At 35.9% G+C, this 20,495-nt stretch overlaps 1 protein-coding gene across 14 annotated transcripts in view; it reads right to left on the bottom strand.

The window, feature by feature from the left end:
- The window catches only part of PIK3C2G (phosphatidylinositol-4-phosphate 3-kinase catalytic subunit type 2 gamma), a 483,857-nt gene that overhangs the window by 165,049 nt on the left and 298,313 nt on the right, over positions 1-20,495 (bottom strand). For all 14 annotated transcript variants that reach the window (XM_047429007.1, XM_017019471.2, XM_047429008.1 and 11 more), the window contains one exon: positions 15,337-15,446. In XM_047429007.1, the coding sequence (XP_047284963.1) occupies positions 15,337-15,446 (110 nt within the window). The remainder of the gene's footprint in view (positions 1-15,336; positions 15,447-20,495) is intronic.

The following is a 20,495-nucleotide window of genomic DNA, read 5'->3' as shown; positions in this document are numbered from 1 at the left end:
CTTTTTAAAGGTTTTTTTTTGTATTTAAGAAAGTTTGCATTCTAATGGTGTAATAATTTATTTCTATATTTTCCTTTACCTCTTCTTTTTTTATTTTTAATTCATTCTCTGTTGAGAGCAATATTGAAATCAGCTAATAGCTTCTTTTTTCATACTGTTCGTTCCCTTTTCTCCAGTATCTGACTTGTGATATTACCCTTTTAAACTCAGTTAATACCATAAAGCAAACAGTATGCTTATTCTACTTTTAATTTGTGCTTCCTAGCCCCTACTTCCTTTTTTTATTTTCAGAGATAGGGTCTTACTCTGTCACCCAGGCTGGAATACAGTGGTGAGATAGTAGCTCACTACAGCCTCTGAATCCTAGGCTCAAAGGATCTTCCCTCCTCAGCTTCCTGAGTAGCTAGGGTTAGAGGCATGTGCCAGTATGCCTGTCTAAACCCACCTCCATTTTTTTATTGACCTACGATTGTATAGTACAATTGAACTGTACCGTATAGTACAATTGAACTCTATCATATAGTATGTATACTAAACACACTTTGCAGTTTCTCTTATAACCTTCACTTAATTTTAAACTCTCTACCAGTCTTTGTGCCCACATCTCTACAGTCACTTTGATTATCTGAAACTCATGTTCCAGTAAATTCTTTAAGAAGTGCTCAAGGAAATAAGTTTCTGAATTCTTGTAAGCTGACAACAGTTGGTCTGTGGCCTTTATACTTGAAAGTTAGTTTGCCTTGATATAACATCATTAGCTCACATTTTCTTTTTGAGTGCCATAAAGCTATTCTATTTTCTTCTGGAATAAAGGATTACTGTTCAAAACTCTGATGACATAGTAAATTGTTTACCATATAAGTGAGTTAGTCTTCCTGCCTACATGCTTAAAGGAAGTTTCTCTTTCTGCAAAGTTCAGTAGTTTTTCTAAAACATGCTTCTGTATTGGTTTTTCTGGGTCATTTTTTTAAATAGTGCCCTTTCAATATGTAATTTCAAATCCTTTCACTTTTGAAATTTTTTTCTTATAGTCTTAGTATTTGTTAAAATACTAAATATGCTATTTAGTTTTGATATAGTTTTATATATTATTTCATTTTCTTTTTCTCAGGGACTACTATTATATGTACATTGGATCTTCAGTGCCTTTATTTCTTTTTTATTTTAAAAGTCCTCTCTGTTTTTACCTTCTCTCTTGAGGCATTGTGTGTTTTGTTGTGTTTGTTTATTCCCATGTCTCTTCTAGCTTATTGTTTGTAAAATCATGTTTTCTTTTATTTCTAATTCTTTCTTGGGTTCAGTCACTTCCTTTCTGAGGTTTCCTAATTGTGGTCTATGTTGTTCCTTCACATATTTATCATTTTCTTCATTTCTTTTATCTCAATTAAATATAAGGATACAGTTTATCTTTTTGGTGGGCATGTCTTTCTGGCCCACTTTTTTTAAGGATATTATTTTGCTTCTTATTTATCTTTTTCTTGTTATAATTCTATATGACTTTCAACCATGGTCACTTTTCTTGTTCATTTTTATATAAAATGAGTATTCCTGAACTTTCAGGAAGGAGTAGAGGATTTTTTACGGTCTGGGGCTTTCCTATCTGTTGCTGTCACATAGTGATTAAAAAAAAATTATTTTGGCCAGGTGCGGTGGCTCATGCCTGTAATCCCAGCACTTTGGGAGGCAGAGGCCGGTGGATCACCTGAGGTCAGGAGTTTGAGACCAGTGAAACCCCATCTCTACTAAAAATACAAAAAATTAGCCAGGCATGGTGGCAGATGCCTGTAATCCCAGTTACTTGTGAGGCTGAGGCAGGAGAATTGCTTGGATCTGGGAGGTGGAGGTTGCAGTGAGCCGAGACTGGGCCACTGCATTCCAGCCTAGGCAACAAGAGCAAAACTGTCTCTCTCTCTCTCTCTCTCTCTCTCTCTCTCTCTCTCTCTCTCTATATATATATATATATATATATATATATATATATATATATATATAATTTCATACAATACATTCTGAGATATTTCTCCTTTGATCTCCTCCCTCCAACTTTTTCTGGACTTTGATTTTCCCTTTGCTAATATTATCTCTTGTCCATGCAATTTGGATTATATGTCCAACAGTTTCTCTTCAGTGTGAGAGAGACCTTTTTTTTTGGAAGAAAGCCCCAGTTGAGAATTCATAGATTGCCTAATATTTTTATATTTGCCACAGAACCCTCACCCTTGCCTGTGAAATAGAGTATGCAAAAAGTACTTCCAATTTCAACTGCTTTTCTCAAATTAGCCTGCTCAGCTTCCAACAAATAACTGTTGACTCTTTTGGAGTACTGCTCTCAGGTCAGCCAGAGTACCTGTGGTTTCCCTTAGCTTCCTTCTGTCCAAATGCTCATACGACACAAATCTTGTAATTTAATGGTTTGCCTCCACCTGCTTTTATTGTATGGTTCTTAGGGTATACCTTGTTGCCTAGTTTTGTCATAAATGTTGTCCAAGCTTTTGGATTTTGCTATCCTGGTTGATTTGCCTGTTGTATGTAAGAGATTTAGGGACATTTAAAAACTTGGCATTTTAGCATATATAATTCAAGCAACACAGGAAAATATAAAGTAAAATGTGGAAGGTTCCCTTTTTCTTTTCTCCACAGGAGGCCAGTGCTCCTCCCCAGAAATAACCACTGTAAGCAGTTTGACATCATTCTTTTTTGAACTTTCTCTATATATTTGTGCAAACACAGAGACATGCAAACATACAGACATGCAAACACATAGACACACACATTGTCCTTATTCCTATTGTATGCCAGGTACTATTCTGGTGATGGGATTTAGCAATGAACAGAAGAGATGGAAGTTTTTCGCCCTTTTAGAGTTTGTATAATCTAAAATTCTGATGGTAATTAATCAAGTAAAAATATAGAATTTGATAAAGTAATATGTATTATAAAAGAAAATAGGAAATAAGGAGAGGAAGTATGGGGGTAGATAATAGCTTTACAGTTTTAAATAGGATGCCCACTGAAAAGTGCTCATCTCACTGAAAGATGAGCTGAATGATTTGACAAAGACCTTAACTTGCCATGAAAGTAGGCCATGGGAATTCTGATGAAATGCATTTTAGGCAGAAGCAACAGCTAGTCCACAAGCTCAGAGGCAGATGAATGACTAGAGTGTTTAATGAGCAGCAGTGTGGCTGACACAAAGTCAGTAGAGAAAGAAGGGAATCAAAGACCTAAAGGGCACAATTGCATAAGAACTTTGACTTTGTGTGAGATGAGAGTTAGAGAAGAATCACAATTGTATGTAATGTTGCAATTTGTTTTTGTTAACTTAATAATATATTTTACAGGGAAAAATTAATAGTAACTGGTACATAGTAAGTGATCCAAAAATATTTGTTGAATGACTGAACAATCTTTCTAATTCAGAACATAGCATTAAATCATATTTTTAAATGGCTATATGGTTTCTCCAAATAGGGATGAACAATGTTTAATGTAACAATTTTTTAACTTGCAAAGACATTTTTTTCTTTACTGTTTAACTTTGTCCAAAACCAAGGGTCTGTATATACACAAGACTGTTTCTGGCCTCCTCGTTTTGTTGCATTTATCTCTTTGTCTATCTCTGTGTCAGTATTATACTATCCTAAATAGCTGGAACTTTATAGTACATCTTGAAATCCAGAAGAATGATTATTTTACCTCATTTTCTTTAGGGGGCTCTTCACTATTCTAGGCCCTTTGGCCTCCTAAATATATTTTAGAATTAGCTTATCAAGTTCACCCACACACAAAACCAATAGGTAAGGATTTTGAATGTACTGTATGTAAATTAGAAATCAATTTGGAGAATATTAACATCTCTGTAGTATTAAGACATTCAGTTCACGAATGTGGTATATCGTTCTATTTAGTTTGGTCTTGCATATTTTTTGTTGGAGTTATTCTTTGGTTTGGCATATTTTGTATGGCATAAATGCTATCTTGTACTAACTTTTAATTCATATTTGATAATATATGAGTAGATCTTTAACTCTTATTAATTCTAACAACATATGCATATTCTTTTGAAATTTGTATGTACACAGTCATGTAACCTGCAAATAATGGTAGTGGCTGTTTTTGTCACTCTGCACTGCTAAGAAACTTCCACTTCAATATTAAATGGAAGTGGTGATAGCAACCATTTTTGGTGTGTTCCTGATTACAAAGGAAAAACTTTCAATGTTTACTGTTAAGCGTAATGTTTTCTGTAGGTTTTTAGCTATACGTTAATGACATTCTTTTCTATTTCTATTTTTTTCCTAAATGAATGGTTCTACATTTTATTAACTACACTTTCTGTATCTATTTAGGTGATCATATATTTTCTTTTTAATTTTTAAAGTACTGAGTCTTAAATGTTTACTTTGTAACCACTTATTTTACTAAATTCTTGTTATTTTGATTTGTTTGTGTGTGTGTGTGTCAATTCTCTGGGATCGTATTAATTATTGTATTATTCACTTGAAAAAATAACTTCATAACAAAGTTTAATTAGAGAGCTTTATTATCAATATAGAAGATACTATCTTTTCCCCACCATTAATAAGAATGCTTATCATTTTTAACTTTTGAAAGTATGATGCTTATCTAAGCTTGGATCTATTCTGAGTGTACTAAAACTTTCCAGGAGGAATGGATGTTGAATGTAATCCAGTATGACTTTTCTGGGTTGGCATCTATCAAAGTGATCATGCAATGCCTTCTTTACAACTAATCTGCCATGTCCTCAATGTTAAAAATGTACTTCAATTATGTTTAATAATTTTCCCTTCAATTTCATAAAGATTCAAGGCCATTTATCTTGTTCTGGTCTTAAACTTTTTTGAATAAATTCCAAATTTTTCCACTATTATACATCAAGTTAGGCCAAAACTTGCTAAGAAAGTTAAAATATGACTCTGATCCCATTATTCATCCCAGTGTTCACCATTTCTAAAGATGTTGTTTGCACTTATGAATTTACAGGTGCACAGTGCAGTACAAAACATTATTTCTTCATCAGCACTTTAAAGACATGAGGATAATAGCAGGAGTATAATATTAATCATGATTTATGGAGACTCTACCATTCATTCATTGAACATCGATCCAACAAACATTTACTGAACACATTTTATTTGCTGGAGTGAAAAGCTTTAGGGTGACAGCATGCACTCACTTCTCATGAAGATATCAGTTTTAAGTTTTGTGAATCATAAATGTTAAGTTTTGATGAACTCACCCTCACAAAAATCTCAACTATGCCCATACCTTATTCTTACATTGCCCAACAGTTAGGATGTAAGAAGTCTGAAGATGAAGGGTGAGACTTTATGGTCAGCCCATGGTTTGGGGGCAGACTTTCACTCAAATCCATCTCCTATCTCTCAGGTGTCAGACTTAACGGGTCAGACAAAACAGTGCTGTTAACTGTAATTGGACTTGGGACTGGGGCTCTGAGTGTAGTCGGTTTCAGGCCTCTGTGAGGATCTAATTTATCCAAGTAATAGCTCCCTGATTTATTTTGTTTAATGGCAGCATTAGCAGGATTATGCTTTGGATTATCCTTATATTACAGGAATAAAGCAGCAGCTGGGAGGATTTTAGCTCTTAAGTTTCCTAAGGGAAGTCTCCAAGCAGTCTTGATAAACACTTTTAACTCTCCCTTGCTAGGCACTATTCTATGTGCTGGGAGGTAAAGAAGAGAAACCAAATTTCTGCCCTGAGGAAGTATATATCCCTTGGCAGGTAGTACACTAAATGCTTCATGTTAATCTTTTCATCCTTAGAGAAGAGCAGTCCAATTATTTCAGCAATAGATAAGAAAATGACCAGGAGAAGTTAAATGCATACCAAAGGTGACATCAACTAAGAAGTAGTAACTGAAGAATTCTACTCATGTTTATCTGATTCCTTAGTCTTTGCTCTCACTGTGGATTTTAAAAAGCAAACAATAATTCAATTTTGTCTTTCAGAGAAAAATAAGCCAATAACTTGTGGAATTCTCAGGTGGATCAAAGGTACTAAGACAATGAACCTTTGATTTTTACATAGAAATAACCCTTAGGTAAAAAAAATGTAACATATTTCTAGCTGCCAAGGAACATAGTCTAAAGGGACCTATAATAAGCATAAAATTTCTTAAGCCTTAGGTCCTATCTTAAAAAATGTGTATACATTGTATTCTACTTCATAATACATGCACTTTTTATACAAACTAAATATTTTAATTGCTTATCATCAGAAACAATTGCTTCTAACAGGTTTCTTAGCACTGTGTGTGTGAATGGGCAATTGAGTCTATCAGTCTCAGAAAACTGAGTTGAATCCAGAGCTCTGATCTTCTGTGTCAGGTTCAGCATCTAGGCAGATTATTTTTTCTCAAATTAAATATAAATTCACATTTATGTTGATATGTGACTACAAATGGCAAACATTTTTCGCTGCTTTATGAGCTACATCAGACTAAGCATTGAGGAGAGATGACTACGATGCCATTGGCAGTTGAACCAAGGTTCTTAGGCAACACCTGATGGAGATTTCTATGACAGCGTATTTCAATTTACAGTTTAAATTGTTCATATATTTGGCAGTTGGATAGAATAACTGTTTCAATGGTCAGTCTCTTTAATAGTCACAGGAAAATATTTCTCATAAGGCTTCTGTGAAGGAATTTGCATGAGAACATTCTTTATTTTACCACTGATACTGTAAGTTCATAATATATAAATACAGGAAGAGTTGCAATTGACTGACTCCCCATGAACAAATTTCTTCATCTAAATCTCAAACTTCATTTCATTGCAGTATTCTGGCATGTGCAAGAAACACATTACTTTGTTTTTTGTATTGAAGTTACTGACTGAGTGTCCAGCTTTACAAGTCACTCTTAATCATTCAAGGGGAACAATGAATTAATAAAACTTTGTCATAGTTTCTTTTATCGCATAAAGAAAATCAGTAGTTCGGCATTGAATTTGTAATCTCTGAAATATATGACCAGTGCTTTCTTTTACTTAAGCTTATGAGTATGCTTTCGGATAATTCCTATTTTACTACAAATTCATACTGCACTAAGTATTCAAACACATATTTTTTAAGCAAAAAAATTTACTATTCCTAAATGAGCTCAGTGACAATCATTGCTAATGTATTCTGGGTACATGATAAAACAATTCATTTCTATGCACTTTTATTCTTAAAAATTCAAAATTGCACACATGGAAAAAGCACATGATGATTTTGGTTGCACATGTATGTAATGTGTAGGTACACATTTGACTCCAAACTTTACAGTTTATATTCTAATCCTTTAAACAAAATAAGATACTAAAAAGGATATGTCACATGAATCCTTGGGGCTTTGATAGCGTGGTATGCCAATTTGAGAAACACAGCTATAAGCATGTAGATGTTTTTCTTATGATGGTCTTTCAACTAATCTGAAGACACTAAAGTTAAAGAACATTTATATTTATCTGACAGTCAGGACATTAAGAGTTCCATATGCAGAACTTTTTTCCACATGATTTGGCATAGTTGTGTCCTGGGAAGAGCGCTCATTATGCAAGAAATAAACCTTGTTCTAATCTGTACTCACTAGGTCTACCCATGATCTCAAGAAAGTAATTGTTGAACAATTTTAGGATATTCAACTGTTGCATCTATAAAATGCAGTTGGTGACTCATGCCAGTGATCTCAAGAAAGTCATTGTTGAATGACTTCAGGAGACTCAATTGCTGTATTTATAAAACATAACTGATTGCTAAGCCATGCCATTTCCCAGGATCATTGATAGGATGAAATTAGATAAAGTAGGAAAAGTCTTTGGAAATTAAATAGTATTAAGCAAATATTATTTCAGAAAATCTACTACCAATGAGTAAAGAAATAAATGCATATGAGTCTAAAAGGTAGCAAACTATACAAAGAGGGATACAAGAGAAAATGAATGTATAAATTTATTGTTCAAAGGAAACTGACTTGTGGTGCTCTCTTGAACTCCTACAAGAGAGATATTAGGTAAGGATAAGAACAAGCAGCATCTTTAGTGTTTATTTTCTTATTTTATTTCTTCTCCCCATCCCCTTTTCCTGCTTTACAGTTTAGATATGGCTTAAAGACTAACAAACTTAAAGGTCTTTGTTGTTTTCCAAGTTGAGGTTTCAAGTCTTCAGAATTCATGCTACAAGTTCAGCTAGTCTTACGTAAATGTCATCACAGGCACCAAACTGCATTCAAACAAGAGTTTTAGGCTCTGTGGACTTGGCTGGGAGTGGATCATTCTTTTACCTTTTTAGATAGATGCCTTATGAAAGTGACCAAATCAGAACAAACTGAATCAAGGAACCAGGGAAGGGTTGATGGGCTAGTCTTACTATGAATAAAGTGATATGCCAGTGAAATGATATTCCAGTTTTCAGTTCCCACTCCCAAAGCCATTTTATTTTATTAATGATATTAAAAGGAAGTTGTATGCAAAGCAAAAAAAATAAATCTTAACATGCAACAGTAAAGAAAAATCAATAGTGATAAATGGTGCTAATAAAAATCTTTAAAATGTGAAAAATATGTTTTAAAATAGTAAACGATTGTAGCCTAATTGCTTGTTAAATCACTGGTATATAGTAATTGTATGCAATGCGTAGGGTCAGAAATATCAATGGGGATTAACAGGTACACAGCGCTGTTGTGCATAAAACAGCTGTTGGGAAACAGCGCCATCTGGACTATTCATCTTTTTTCAGTAATGATTTCTGGTACTCTTGGTGGGTACATTAAACTTTTCAAATGCTTTTAACCTTTAGACTGATAGTCTCCTGAAGAGTTTACGATATCTTTTTTCAAAGCTTAATAGCTAAGGTGTATCCTGACTTGGAATTTAGGCAATTTAGGCAAATTCTCAGTTTAATTCATATAATTCAAAAACAGCATTTCCCCTACTGCAGAAATTAAGAACAGCAAGCACACTATCAAACATCATAATGAATGTGACTGGGCCGTGCAACTTAGGAAGTACAGATATTATAAGTGGTTATATCTGCAGTTAAAAATAGTTTATAAAGCTAATTTAGTTCAGGTTTGTTATTATAACTAAAAATAATGGGAGACTTTCACAATGAGAGGAGAAATTTCTACTTGTTTTAATTTACATTTTCCTTTGAATCTGCTTTCTTATTTAGGAAAAGCTGGACTTCTTGATTGTTATTTTCTCTTGGTTCTGTGTCCCTATCTCCCCTTGGTAGTGTTTATTTCTGTAGGTATCAATTGTTAAGCTAAGACAAAGGAAAACATTGGCTCTTATTTGTGGAATTGTAACCACAGTTCGCATCACAGTAAAAAAAATAAGAAAATTTAATGATAAAAGTATACAAGGATTTGCATTTCCATCTCATGCTATTTCTCAGTTTTGAAGAGAAAAAAGATATAAAATCATTGAACTATGTTTTAAGACATTTGAGCATAAAGAGTCTTGTCTCACACCCTAGCCGTGAGAAATAAATGAGGAATGAGGGGAACAAAGAATTTCTGAAATTGAGTCTGCAAACCCTCAGTGGTGCAGGGATTCTGGCTCCTGTGTCCATGATGTGGAGGCCAGGTGCACTCTCGGGATGCCATCCACATTTCCAACGGCTTCAAAGTTGTACCTGTTGGATGGTCACTGTGCCTATTCTGCCTAATGGCCCCTCCTAAGACTTCCCTCACAGCTCAAAGTTCACAGAAGAAGCTCTAGGCTATTTTTCTGTGAAAGGGTGGCCTATGATAAGAATACGGCTGGGCAACGAAATCCACTGTGGCTTCACATGAAGGAACTTGTCCAATAAGGACAAAGGCAACTAGTTAAGTCAAAGAGTTTGCCTCTCTCTGGAATTTACACTGAGGAATATTGGGCAATGAGCAGGGAACAATAGAATATGCTAAGCAGAGGTAAACAGAGTAGAAGGCCTGTGTGTTTCCACTAGAAACTAGCCAAGCCCTATTGGTTTCTGGGATTTCTTAGCTTACAGTTTGACTCCATGTAGAGCCTTTAATCTAAGGCTACCAGACGGGGTTCTTTTGCTGTCAAAATAGCTCATGATTGCAAACAATTTGTCTTGTTGTTTTGTTTTGGGTTTTGTTTTTTGAAGTGTGGGGTTTTGTTTTGCTTGAAGCTGGCTTCAGTTTTAGCTGACGAGCAGATCATATACTTACTAAATGAGAACTTACATGGCAGGCCAAGTGGAATATCTGAGCATACATGAAAAATGTCCTCTCACTCTCTTGGAGGAGAAAATGGATAGAATGAAAAGCACTATCTCTATGTGGGAGGGGAGGTAGGCAGGGAAGTTTATGCTTAATGATCCCAGTCTGGTCTGTGAAATAGGTTAGCTCTTGATGAGGACAGCTAACCCGAGGTTTGAGAGTGATTGAAATTTCTGAAATAACCCTTTTGGACAACATTTTAATGGATGGCTGCCTTTGTTGCCTAGCAGTGGTCTCTGCAGAGATATTACATGAGAGTATCAATTTGCAGTGGACTGTGTCATGATACTTTCTTGATTCTATTCAACAGCACTCAGCTGTAAGGGGAGTGAAAGAGAGTAAGGGAAACAGAGAGTAGTTGATGATGATGTGAAAAGCATTTGTGGCCAGCAAACCAATTTTACTTTCCATTTTCCCTCTAAATACCATTAATTGTACAGGATTTTAAATTCCACACAGTATGCAGCATCGCCTGAAACTCTTAGGATCAGCTCTTGACCTAGAATGGATATGTCCAAGAGTGAGGAAAAATCTTGGGTTGTTCATAAATAGAGTACATTCTCCAAGAGGCAGGAAAAAGCTGTTTATTTCTTTCAAGTCTCAAATAGGGTCAAGAGGGGCAGCCCTTTAGTGCTAATATTGTAGTTAGGACCAGGGCACTTAAAGTAGCCACATATGTTATGTCTCAGATGGCCTGGTCTTGGCTCGGGATCCCAATCTGTGAGCCTAGTGGAGAAGGGAGAAGGGGTTTTCTTGTCTTACTTTTGTCTGTAACTTAGTAGTTGTATCACAATAAACAGTGGCATAAAATACTTTTAGCCTATCAGAACAAAGAAATAAAAAGAACAAGGAGTTTAAATATAGAGGGGCTCATATTATATGTATATAATATACTTTTATCAATTATCTATCTATGAATTAATGCCACTCATTGAAGCACGAAGACACCAATGATGGATCTATGACAAACCATTTTTTTTTTGGTGAATTATGTGCAACGAGGTCTGCATTTAGTCTCCCTAAGTTTTAAAATCCATGTGATATCAGGGAACACAGCACAAAATAGCAATATTATTTACACAAAGTAAACAAGTCTACATTATTTTTAACAGTTATTTGAGTCATGGGTATCCTGTTATTTAGAGTTCCATTAAAGTTGTTTTTAATTATCCCAGGCTGCTTTCATAAATTCACTCTATTCATTGTTTAAGGATTTCCAAACAACATAATACATAATTTGTTTCAGAAATTTATAATATACAAATGATAGATCTCAGGAAATATTTCTAAATGGTAGTTACAGTTACAATTAATGGAGGCTGCTGGCCCCTCTGTAAGAGATTGTTCATAGTGCTAGATGGGATGTGTGATAGAAAAGATCCTCAGTGCTTGATGTATATATGCTGAGCAAGAAACACAGAGAAATTGAACAGATATGCTACTTGCACATTAAATCATGTCTAAAAATAAAGGTATGTAATTGAGACTTTAAGATTAAAAAATATGACTGAGATGGGCTCTTGGAAGTTAGGGGATAGTGAGCCTCATGGGATATTTCTCTGAGAAGAAAAAAAAAGTAGAGAGAGGCTCATGGCATTGTGGAATGGGCCACAAAAGGAAAAGGAAGGAAGGTGACTTCCAGGAAGTCAGCTGCCAAGTTACCCTTTAGGGGTCTCTCAGGGCAGCAAAGCAGATCTGGAACCAAATATCCAGGGGACTCCTGGTGGTAGCATAGAGATAGCAGTTCCAGAAAGGAACTTCTGTTCTCTGCTGATGCTTGAGGTATTCCGGATAAAAGGATGAGTGCCTGAGAAAGGCTGGAGAATATATCTTTGTTCAACTTCAGCCAACGCAGGCTCTGAAAAACCTTGAGAAGACTGTGGTCTGAATTACAAAGCAGCACATTCCTGAGAGCCCACATATGGAAGAGGTGATTTTGAGCATAGAGAACGTTCTCTGGTAAATTATTTAACTTCCTTGGGGTCTCAATTCACTAGTATAAAAATGTAGATAAAGATATTAATACCTCATAGGATTGTTATGACAGTTAAATACATTACTGTAAGAAAAGCACTTAGAACAGGGCTTGACACACAAGAAGCACTGCATTAAGTTGTAGTTATTATTATATGCTTTTTATATACTTGATATTTGATGTTTAAATTGCATTTTCTGTTAAATAGGGCTTGTTTCATATTCAGATATTCTTAGAATTGGGAATACATTCCCTGCTTTACTTGGGAGAAATTGATGTAACTCATCAATATATTAATTAAACTGATATACAAGACAGTATGTAATTCAGTAATAAATTAAGGACAGCACAAAAGACGGCATGTTCGAGAGAATTATAGAAGAAAAGATTGGGAAGTACTGGAATGATCAGATAAGGTTTCATGGATGAGGTACTAGCTGTCCAGAATATCAAGGGATGGGTGGGATTAAAAGTTAGATCAGAATCTTCCTGTATTCCAGAAATTTTATGATTCCATTGGAGTGTTTCTAGTGAGCTAGCAAAGCGAGTTAAACAGACAATGCAGGAATGAATATACATGGAGAGAATGGCCTATCCAGAAAAGGATTCATGTGGAATAATGGAGACAGGGGGCGGGTAGTTGGATAAATCTTGACAAAGACAATCAGATTATAAGGTCCTAGGAAGTGAGAGACAGGAGATGGCACACCAAGGAAAATTATTGAACTGAGAAATGATGTGTCCTAGTTTCCATAATTTGATGCCTTTTAAGGCTTCAATGGAGAACAAGTTCTTTATTCCAAAGTCATAGAAAGAAGTTTAATTAACAGAACATACCACATAACATTGGTAAGTGGGAAGATTGGCCTGGCAGAGGTATGCAGGCAGGATCACAAGGTCCGCCTCACTGCCATGAGGTTCTAGCTTCAGATCTACTTCCACGTTAGTTCATGTCCTCTTGAATGGGAAGGGGAGATAGGTCACCGTAGGCAAGATCACTGATATCCAAGATTATGCTCTTTACAGATCTCAGTGTGTTGCATGAAGTAGAGGGATAGGGAGAGATGGAATTCTGGCAGATGAATAAAGCCTATTTACATTTCTCTTTTGGCCAGGGCCTGAAAGAACTTTTTTCATCCAAATACATATATGGCATTTCCTTTTTCAGGAGGGACTAATAGTAAGCTACAGCACTATAATTGTTCTGCCCACACAATGACACATCTCGAACACAGGCCTTGCAGTCCAACTTTGCATTCCTTTTTTCTACCTTCCCTAGCTTTCTCCATGCTCCTCCTTTGTCTTCCCACCCAGCCCCACTGACATGTCAATCATTGTGTCTGCCATGCTGCAGCCATTTTAAAGAAAAGAATCCTACTCAGATCCTCTCCTGAAGGGATACCCTCAGGGGGCTATTTTTGCTACCACGTAAACCCACCTGCATGGGATGGAGTTTTGTACTCGGGTTAAACAGTCAGAGGGGAAGGAGTAAGTTCCTGCTGATGTGGTCCCTGGAGCTGCCTTCAATTCTGAAGGACCTTCCAGACTCTGTGACGCTGCCCTTCTGTTCTTCCTGAGGCTTTCCCTGGGTTTTCTCATGCAAGGCACCCATCCCCATTAGTTGAGATAACTGTAGAGTTCCTGATCCTTGAAATAAAGGGTCTAAAATACCTCCCCAAGTCTTCAAGCTAATGTCTTTGGCCACAGTCGAACATCAATTACTTGGGATTTTGCTAGTAGATGTAAACAAATGCTTCTTTCAGAGGTCATTGTACTATTAAAGGGCATTTTTCAAGACTAAGACAACCTGCTGGACTCCCTTAAGGGATCTCTAATGAACTAGATAGCAAGAAGGCAGGGTTTTTTTTGTTTTGTTTTGTTTTGTTTTTGCAACAACTCTTCCTGGAGTTCCATAATCATATCATATAATTTCCAATATTGAGTACTGGAAAAACCCAGGACTAGAGGGACCAGACACTGTTTCTTGCTACTTCTACTAATTGTGGGCAAGACAATTCTCTGTATCTCAGTTTTCTCACTTGAATGTCTATTGTCAGAATAAATAAACTATAAAGGCTCTTCCAGCTGTAATATTTTGTGATTCTGTCACATTGTCTCTTTTCAACAACAAGGGCAGCACACCCATTCAAGTTCATGAAACAGAAATCCCTGAGCCAAGTGAAATTCCCCAAGTGTGTACGACATCCCCATGAAGCCGCACTGCCACCATTGGAGTGGGAAGCAATTTCTTGCTGTATATTCTGGAAGGGTGAAAGAAAAAGTAAAACCTGGAAGAGGTTTTATTATAATCATGATTTTCTTTAAAGCATACATTCCACTTAAAAGAATATAATCTCTGTTTATAAATTTTCAGTGGAAAATATTAGAACAATTAAAAATTAGACTCAAGACCACAATTAAGAGGTTACAGGAAAGAAAGAATGCAGTTTTTCTCTCCTGTTTGTAGGAAAATAATTACTGCTAACATTTATTGAGCACCTAAAATTTGCCAGGAATTATATATCCATTTAAAAAGAAAAATTCAAAAAGATCTTATAAAATGTACTGTCCTTTTGACCAGATTTGGGGTCTGATATTCATCATATTCTGCCCAGATTCTTACCTTGATATACATCAGTGTTTTGCTGGACTTGTTTAATAAAAAATAGATTAAAAGTAGAAGAGAGTCACAGGTCTTTGACCAAATATCCCAATATTTGTATTGTCTTACATAGGAAAGTAGTGAGTACATATCTCATCATAAATCTCTTTTTCCAAATTGTTTTTCTGGACATAGTTCAAGTAGAACAACCAATTTATTTATGTCAGCTCTTGCTCTTTTCAATGACCTCTTATTGAGCAATCTGTTAGATGAAGAGGCTGGTTAGCAAACAATGACATGCTGCAGAAACACTGACTAAGGCCTTCTGCTAGACATTCACATTGCTTCCTTTCTGCTCTTTGGGAAAGGGAACACAAGCTTGTTCTAGAAACAACAGCTTCATACCAATGACTGGTCAACCTGAAATCATCTCCACTGTGGAACATGTGTCTGCGTACATTCATGCATGCATGCTCACACATTCATAGGTGATCTTACTTGGTAAAATGACTTGTTGCTTCCAGGTCTGTGTCTTGTGGACGAAGATTATTATACACATATTTCAGGTCTTGAATTCCACTTAGCTCAGGCAGTCCTGCATACAGCATCTTAACCACAACAAGAACAAGCAAAGCAAAAAGAAGACAGAATAAATGCAGATACAATCAAGCTTACTTGATTAATTCTACCCAGAGACATCTAGACCCAAGTTTGCATGGCAATGTCTTTCAGTTTATATACACGAATGCATATAAGTTCGTGCGTTTTTAATCTCTTCTATTAAGTAGTAGAGACAACAGCAATAACAACTATAACAAAAGAACCACTATAATTGGAACATTCTTGTAGATTAATAATTCAGTTTTATTCTCATCATAAACCAGTGAAATAAGCATGATATTATCCCCATGTGAGAATTTGTGGACCCATCATTTAAAATCTATGTGATTTTGAGAAAGTTCCTTAACCTCTGAGTCTTCATTTTCTCGTTTTTAAAATAGATATAAAATAAGAAAGAGGTTTATACATTACAAAATATTACACAAAAATTATATAATAATATGCATTTTAGAGAAGAAAAGTTTAATCTCCACAAAACTGTAAGTGATATGTCCAGGTCAAATGATGTGCAAACATAGAGTATAAAACTCACCGCTCTGGTTCTTAATCCTATGTTCTTTTATGACTCCATGATTCTCACTAGAAGAATACAATTTTCCCTACTTAAATGGTGACTGCATTTACTAAGGCAATAAATAATTAAGGATGAATTGTATAAGATATTTTCCTGCCAATTATCAGGAAGATATTTTGTTTATATTACAGTGTAGACTGAGGGAATTATAATCTCTTTAGACTACTTTTTTTTAAAGAAAATAATAGAACTTTCTAAACTAAATTTGAACTTTGCAAAAAAAAAAATGAAGACTGTTATCAGCACTTCTATGACTAAGATGATAAATTATTTACTGCTCTGGAATAAAGGCCCTCTTACAATAAGATGTTAAGAATGATACTATCGATCCTTAAAACAAAGGGTAAAGTGAGAATATGGTTTTGGAAGATGGGTGAAATTGTGATTAACTTGCTGAAGTTCAAATGAGAAAAAGAATGGTATAAAAACTATTCTTTTTTCCCACCATCCCCACCCAGGCTCAGGAAGCAGCATGTATAGGAAAGCAAGACATACAAAGGAAAGCAAGATGTCTTTAATATGTCTGCAGAAAGAAACCCAGGCTGGCTTTCTGGAACCGAGTATTACATGGGTGAGCAGCAAGAGATGGGGATGAAAGGCAAGTAGGATAAGACATTCTGGCAACATTAAGGATTTTGTACTCTATCCTAAAGTACAAAAAAACAAGAAAGCTCTTTAAGTGTTTTAACATGAGAGTAAGAGATTTAATTGTGTCTTGAAAGATCATTGTGGTTATGTATGGAAAATGGACTAAAATGAGGCCCGTTTAGAGGCTAGATTAGGAGACTGGTTAGGAATGAAGATCAGTCATTGGATTTTAAATAAATGTAGGAAGTAGAATTGAGAAAACTGGGAGATAGATTGGACATATTGAGAGGGTCCAAAGCACATGCTATAATACAGATTTGACTGTCATTAGCATATAAATGATAATTGAAACCAAGGAGATGGATGAGGGAGTCCTGGAGAGTTGTCAACTCTCTATCCTCCTGGATGATCTATTAGCATCTTAAACTCATGACATCTAAATTACAGCAAATTCTCTTCTCACATAAACTTTTCCTTCTTTTTTTTCTGTTTCATTTACACTGCCACCACTGCCCAACTAACAAGAAATTCATATCTTCTTTGATTCTCTCTTTTTCCTGGTTCCTATAATCAATTACTTCATTCTATTAAAAACACTCCTCAGCAGTCTCTTGTATTCATCCCCCTTTTCATTGTAATTATCATTGTCCTAATTCAGCCCCTCATCTTCATTTGCCCAGATATCTTGAATAACTTTTATCTTGTTCTCCAATCCTTATCTCTTTAATTACATAAACTCTGTTATCTGCCTAAGATCCCAGCTAGATAATGGTACTTCTTTATCATAAGCATACAAACTTCTAGTTTGTCAAGTGTCTAGGTACTAAAGTCTAAAATCCTCATTCTGGTCACAAATGTCTTTTATAATCACACTGTAACCTATCACTCCAGCCTCATCTTCTACAGAGATTTCCATCTATAGCACAGACTGGGCACACTTGGTTACCTTCATTTACTACACATCATGCCCATGCTCATTAAACCTCCACACATACATTTTTCTCTCAGCTGGAATTGCCTTTTCTCTCTTTCCTTGTCACTGAAATTCTTTTTCAAGGCTCAGCTTCCTCCTTGAAGCATCACTGATCCTCTTCATGAGATTTAATGACTGCTTTCTTTGTACAATCATATTTTGGTTCTACTTCTTTCATAGTACGTATTGCTTCCTAGCTTTTACTGTGTTTTGTTCATATGTATGTTTGTCATATTAGATCTTAAGTTCTTTGAGAACAGGAACTGGATTTGTATTTAATGTTGAATTGTGTACATTGCACAGCACGGCACTTTGTAAATAGCTAGATTTTAATAAATGTCTGGGATAATGAATGCATGAATAAAAAAACACATGATTCAGGCTAAGGTAACCAAAACAGCATGGTACTGGTACAAAAATAGGCACACAGGCCAATGGAACAAAATAGAGAGGCCAGAAATAAGGCCGCACAATTATGATCATCTGATCTTTTACTAAGCTGACAAAAACAAGCAGTGTGGAAAGGACTCCCTATTCAACAAATGCTGTTGGGATAACTGGCTAGCCATATGCAGAAGATTGAAGCTGGACTCCTTCCTTACACCATATATAAAAATCAACTCAAGATGGATTAAAGACTTAAATATAAAACCCAAAGCTATAAAAATCTGGAAGACAACCTGGGCAACACCATCCTGGACATAGGAATGGGCAAAGATTTCATGATGAAGACACCAAAAGCAATCGCAATGAGAGCAAAAATTGGCAGGTGGGATCTAATTAAACTTAAGAGCTTCTGCACAGCAAAAGAAACTATCAACGGAGTAAACGGGCAACCTACAGAACGAGATAAAATATTTGCAAACTATGTATCTGACAAAGGTCTAATACCCAGCGTCTATAAGAAACTTAAACAAATTTACAAGGAAAAACAAAAAAACCCATTAAAAAGTGGGCAAAGGACATGAACAGACACTTCTCAAAAGAAGGCATACATGTGTCCAACAAGCATATGAAAAAAAGCTCAATGTCACTGATTACTAGAGAAATGCAAATCAAAACCACAATGAGATACCATCTCACACCAGTCAGAATGGCTATTACTAAAAAGTCAGAAAATAACAGATGCTGGCAAGGTTGCAGAGAAACGGGAACACTTACACACTGTTGGTTGGAGTATAAATTAGTTCAACCATTGTGAAAAGCAGTATGGTGATTCCTCAAAGAGCTAAAAGCAGAACTACCATTAGACACAGCAATCTCATTGTGGGTATATCATTCTACCGTAAAGACACATGAACACAAATGTTCACTGCAGCACTATTTACAATAGCAAAGACATGGAATCAACCTAAATGCCCATCAATGACAGATTGGATTAAGAAAATGTGGCACATATACACCATAGAATACTATGAAGCCTTACAAAAAAATGAGATCATGTCTTTTACTGGAACATGGGTGGAGCTGGAGGCTATTATCCTTAGCAAACTAATGCAGGAACAGAAAACCACATACTGCATATTCTCACTTATAAGAGGGAGCTAAATGGTGAGAACTCATGAACACAAAGACAGAAACAACAGGCACTGGGATCTACTTGAGGGGCGAGGGTAGGAGGAGGGTGAGAAGCAGAAAAGATAACTATTGGGTACTGGGCTTAATACCTGGGCGATGAAATAATCTGTACATCAAATCCCTGTGACAGAAGTTTACCTATGTAACCAACCTTCACATGTACCCCTGAATCTAAAATAAAAGTTTAAAATAAGAGAGAAAAAAATACTTGATGCTATTAGGCAATGAAAACCTACAATTAGCAAATTTAATGCTGACTAGTAAACTTAACAAAATCAACCATAGGAAGACACATTCCCGATAGCCACTAGAATCTAGATTAGGTTTTATCTTACTAGTTCTGTACTAAGAGGTTTGGAGACTTCCGTGTGCTCATTGAGGCAGATTTCTTCTTTATCACACCATAACTATCCATTTTCTAAGGATAGGCTTCTTCTGTAAGGTCTGAATTGCATTCCAGTTTCTCTGGATACCCTGAATTCACACCTGCTTGGTTAGAACTCTATCAAACATTTCTCTGGAAAGTGGACCCTATACTTACTCGTTCCCTTGCCAACACCCACACACATAACCCACACATGTCACACACTAGCTGCCAAGTACAGACTGCTTCATACCAGATGAACCTATAATAGTTCTCTCCCCACCATGTATCTGACTAAAGGTAACATGTGCCAAGTTTGCCCTTATTAATGTGTTCTGTTCCTTGGAGAGGAGACTTTGAGTGTTGACTCTGCAAATCACAGAGTAAGGATGGCCTCTTAGCCGGGTACACTTAGCTATGTCTCTTCTCTGACCCCTAGCCACATGGTTCTGGTGCCCCCAACTCTAGACTGCATGGGTAATAACTTTAATTGGGGCAATACCAAGGGAAAGGGAAGCTAGAACAGGAAGTGAACAGATACAGGTAATGAATAGATACGTCCCTTTTTAAAAGTCAGGAACATTTTTGAAGTCTTTACTTCTGTTCTCTTAAGTCCAAATCTATTTTAACAGTTATGCTCAGAAAAGCAGACACTCTTCCCCATCACATAGAGAAGTTAGGAAGATCTCTGATGGGAAATATCTAATATAATAATGGGTGTGATAAACATTTTAAACTGGGCAAATGGTCTCTGTGTTCTCTGGGAGCCTTCCATAATAGCTGATATTGATTTTTTAATGAGAGAAAAGCTGATGAAACACAGGCTTTTATTTTCGGGAACTCAGCCGGCAATACTCTTGGGTCTCCTACAGATGTTACTTTTAAGCAAGATGGGAATTTCATGGATTACTTTTTACCCCGCTTTTCTCAGGAGTAAATAAAAAGCAATATGGATATCT

This window comes from Homo sapiens, chromosome 12, assembly GCF_000001405.40.
Source record: "Homo sapiens chromosome 12, GRCh38.p14 Primary Assembly".
Lineage (NCBI taxonomy): Eukaryota > Metazoa > Chordata > Mammalia > Primates > Hominidae > Homo > Homo sapiens.
The sequence above is the reverse complement of the archived record's forward strand: the minus strand, read 5'-3'. Positions and strand labels throughout refer to the sequence as shown.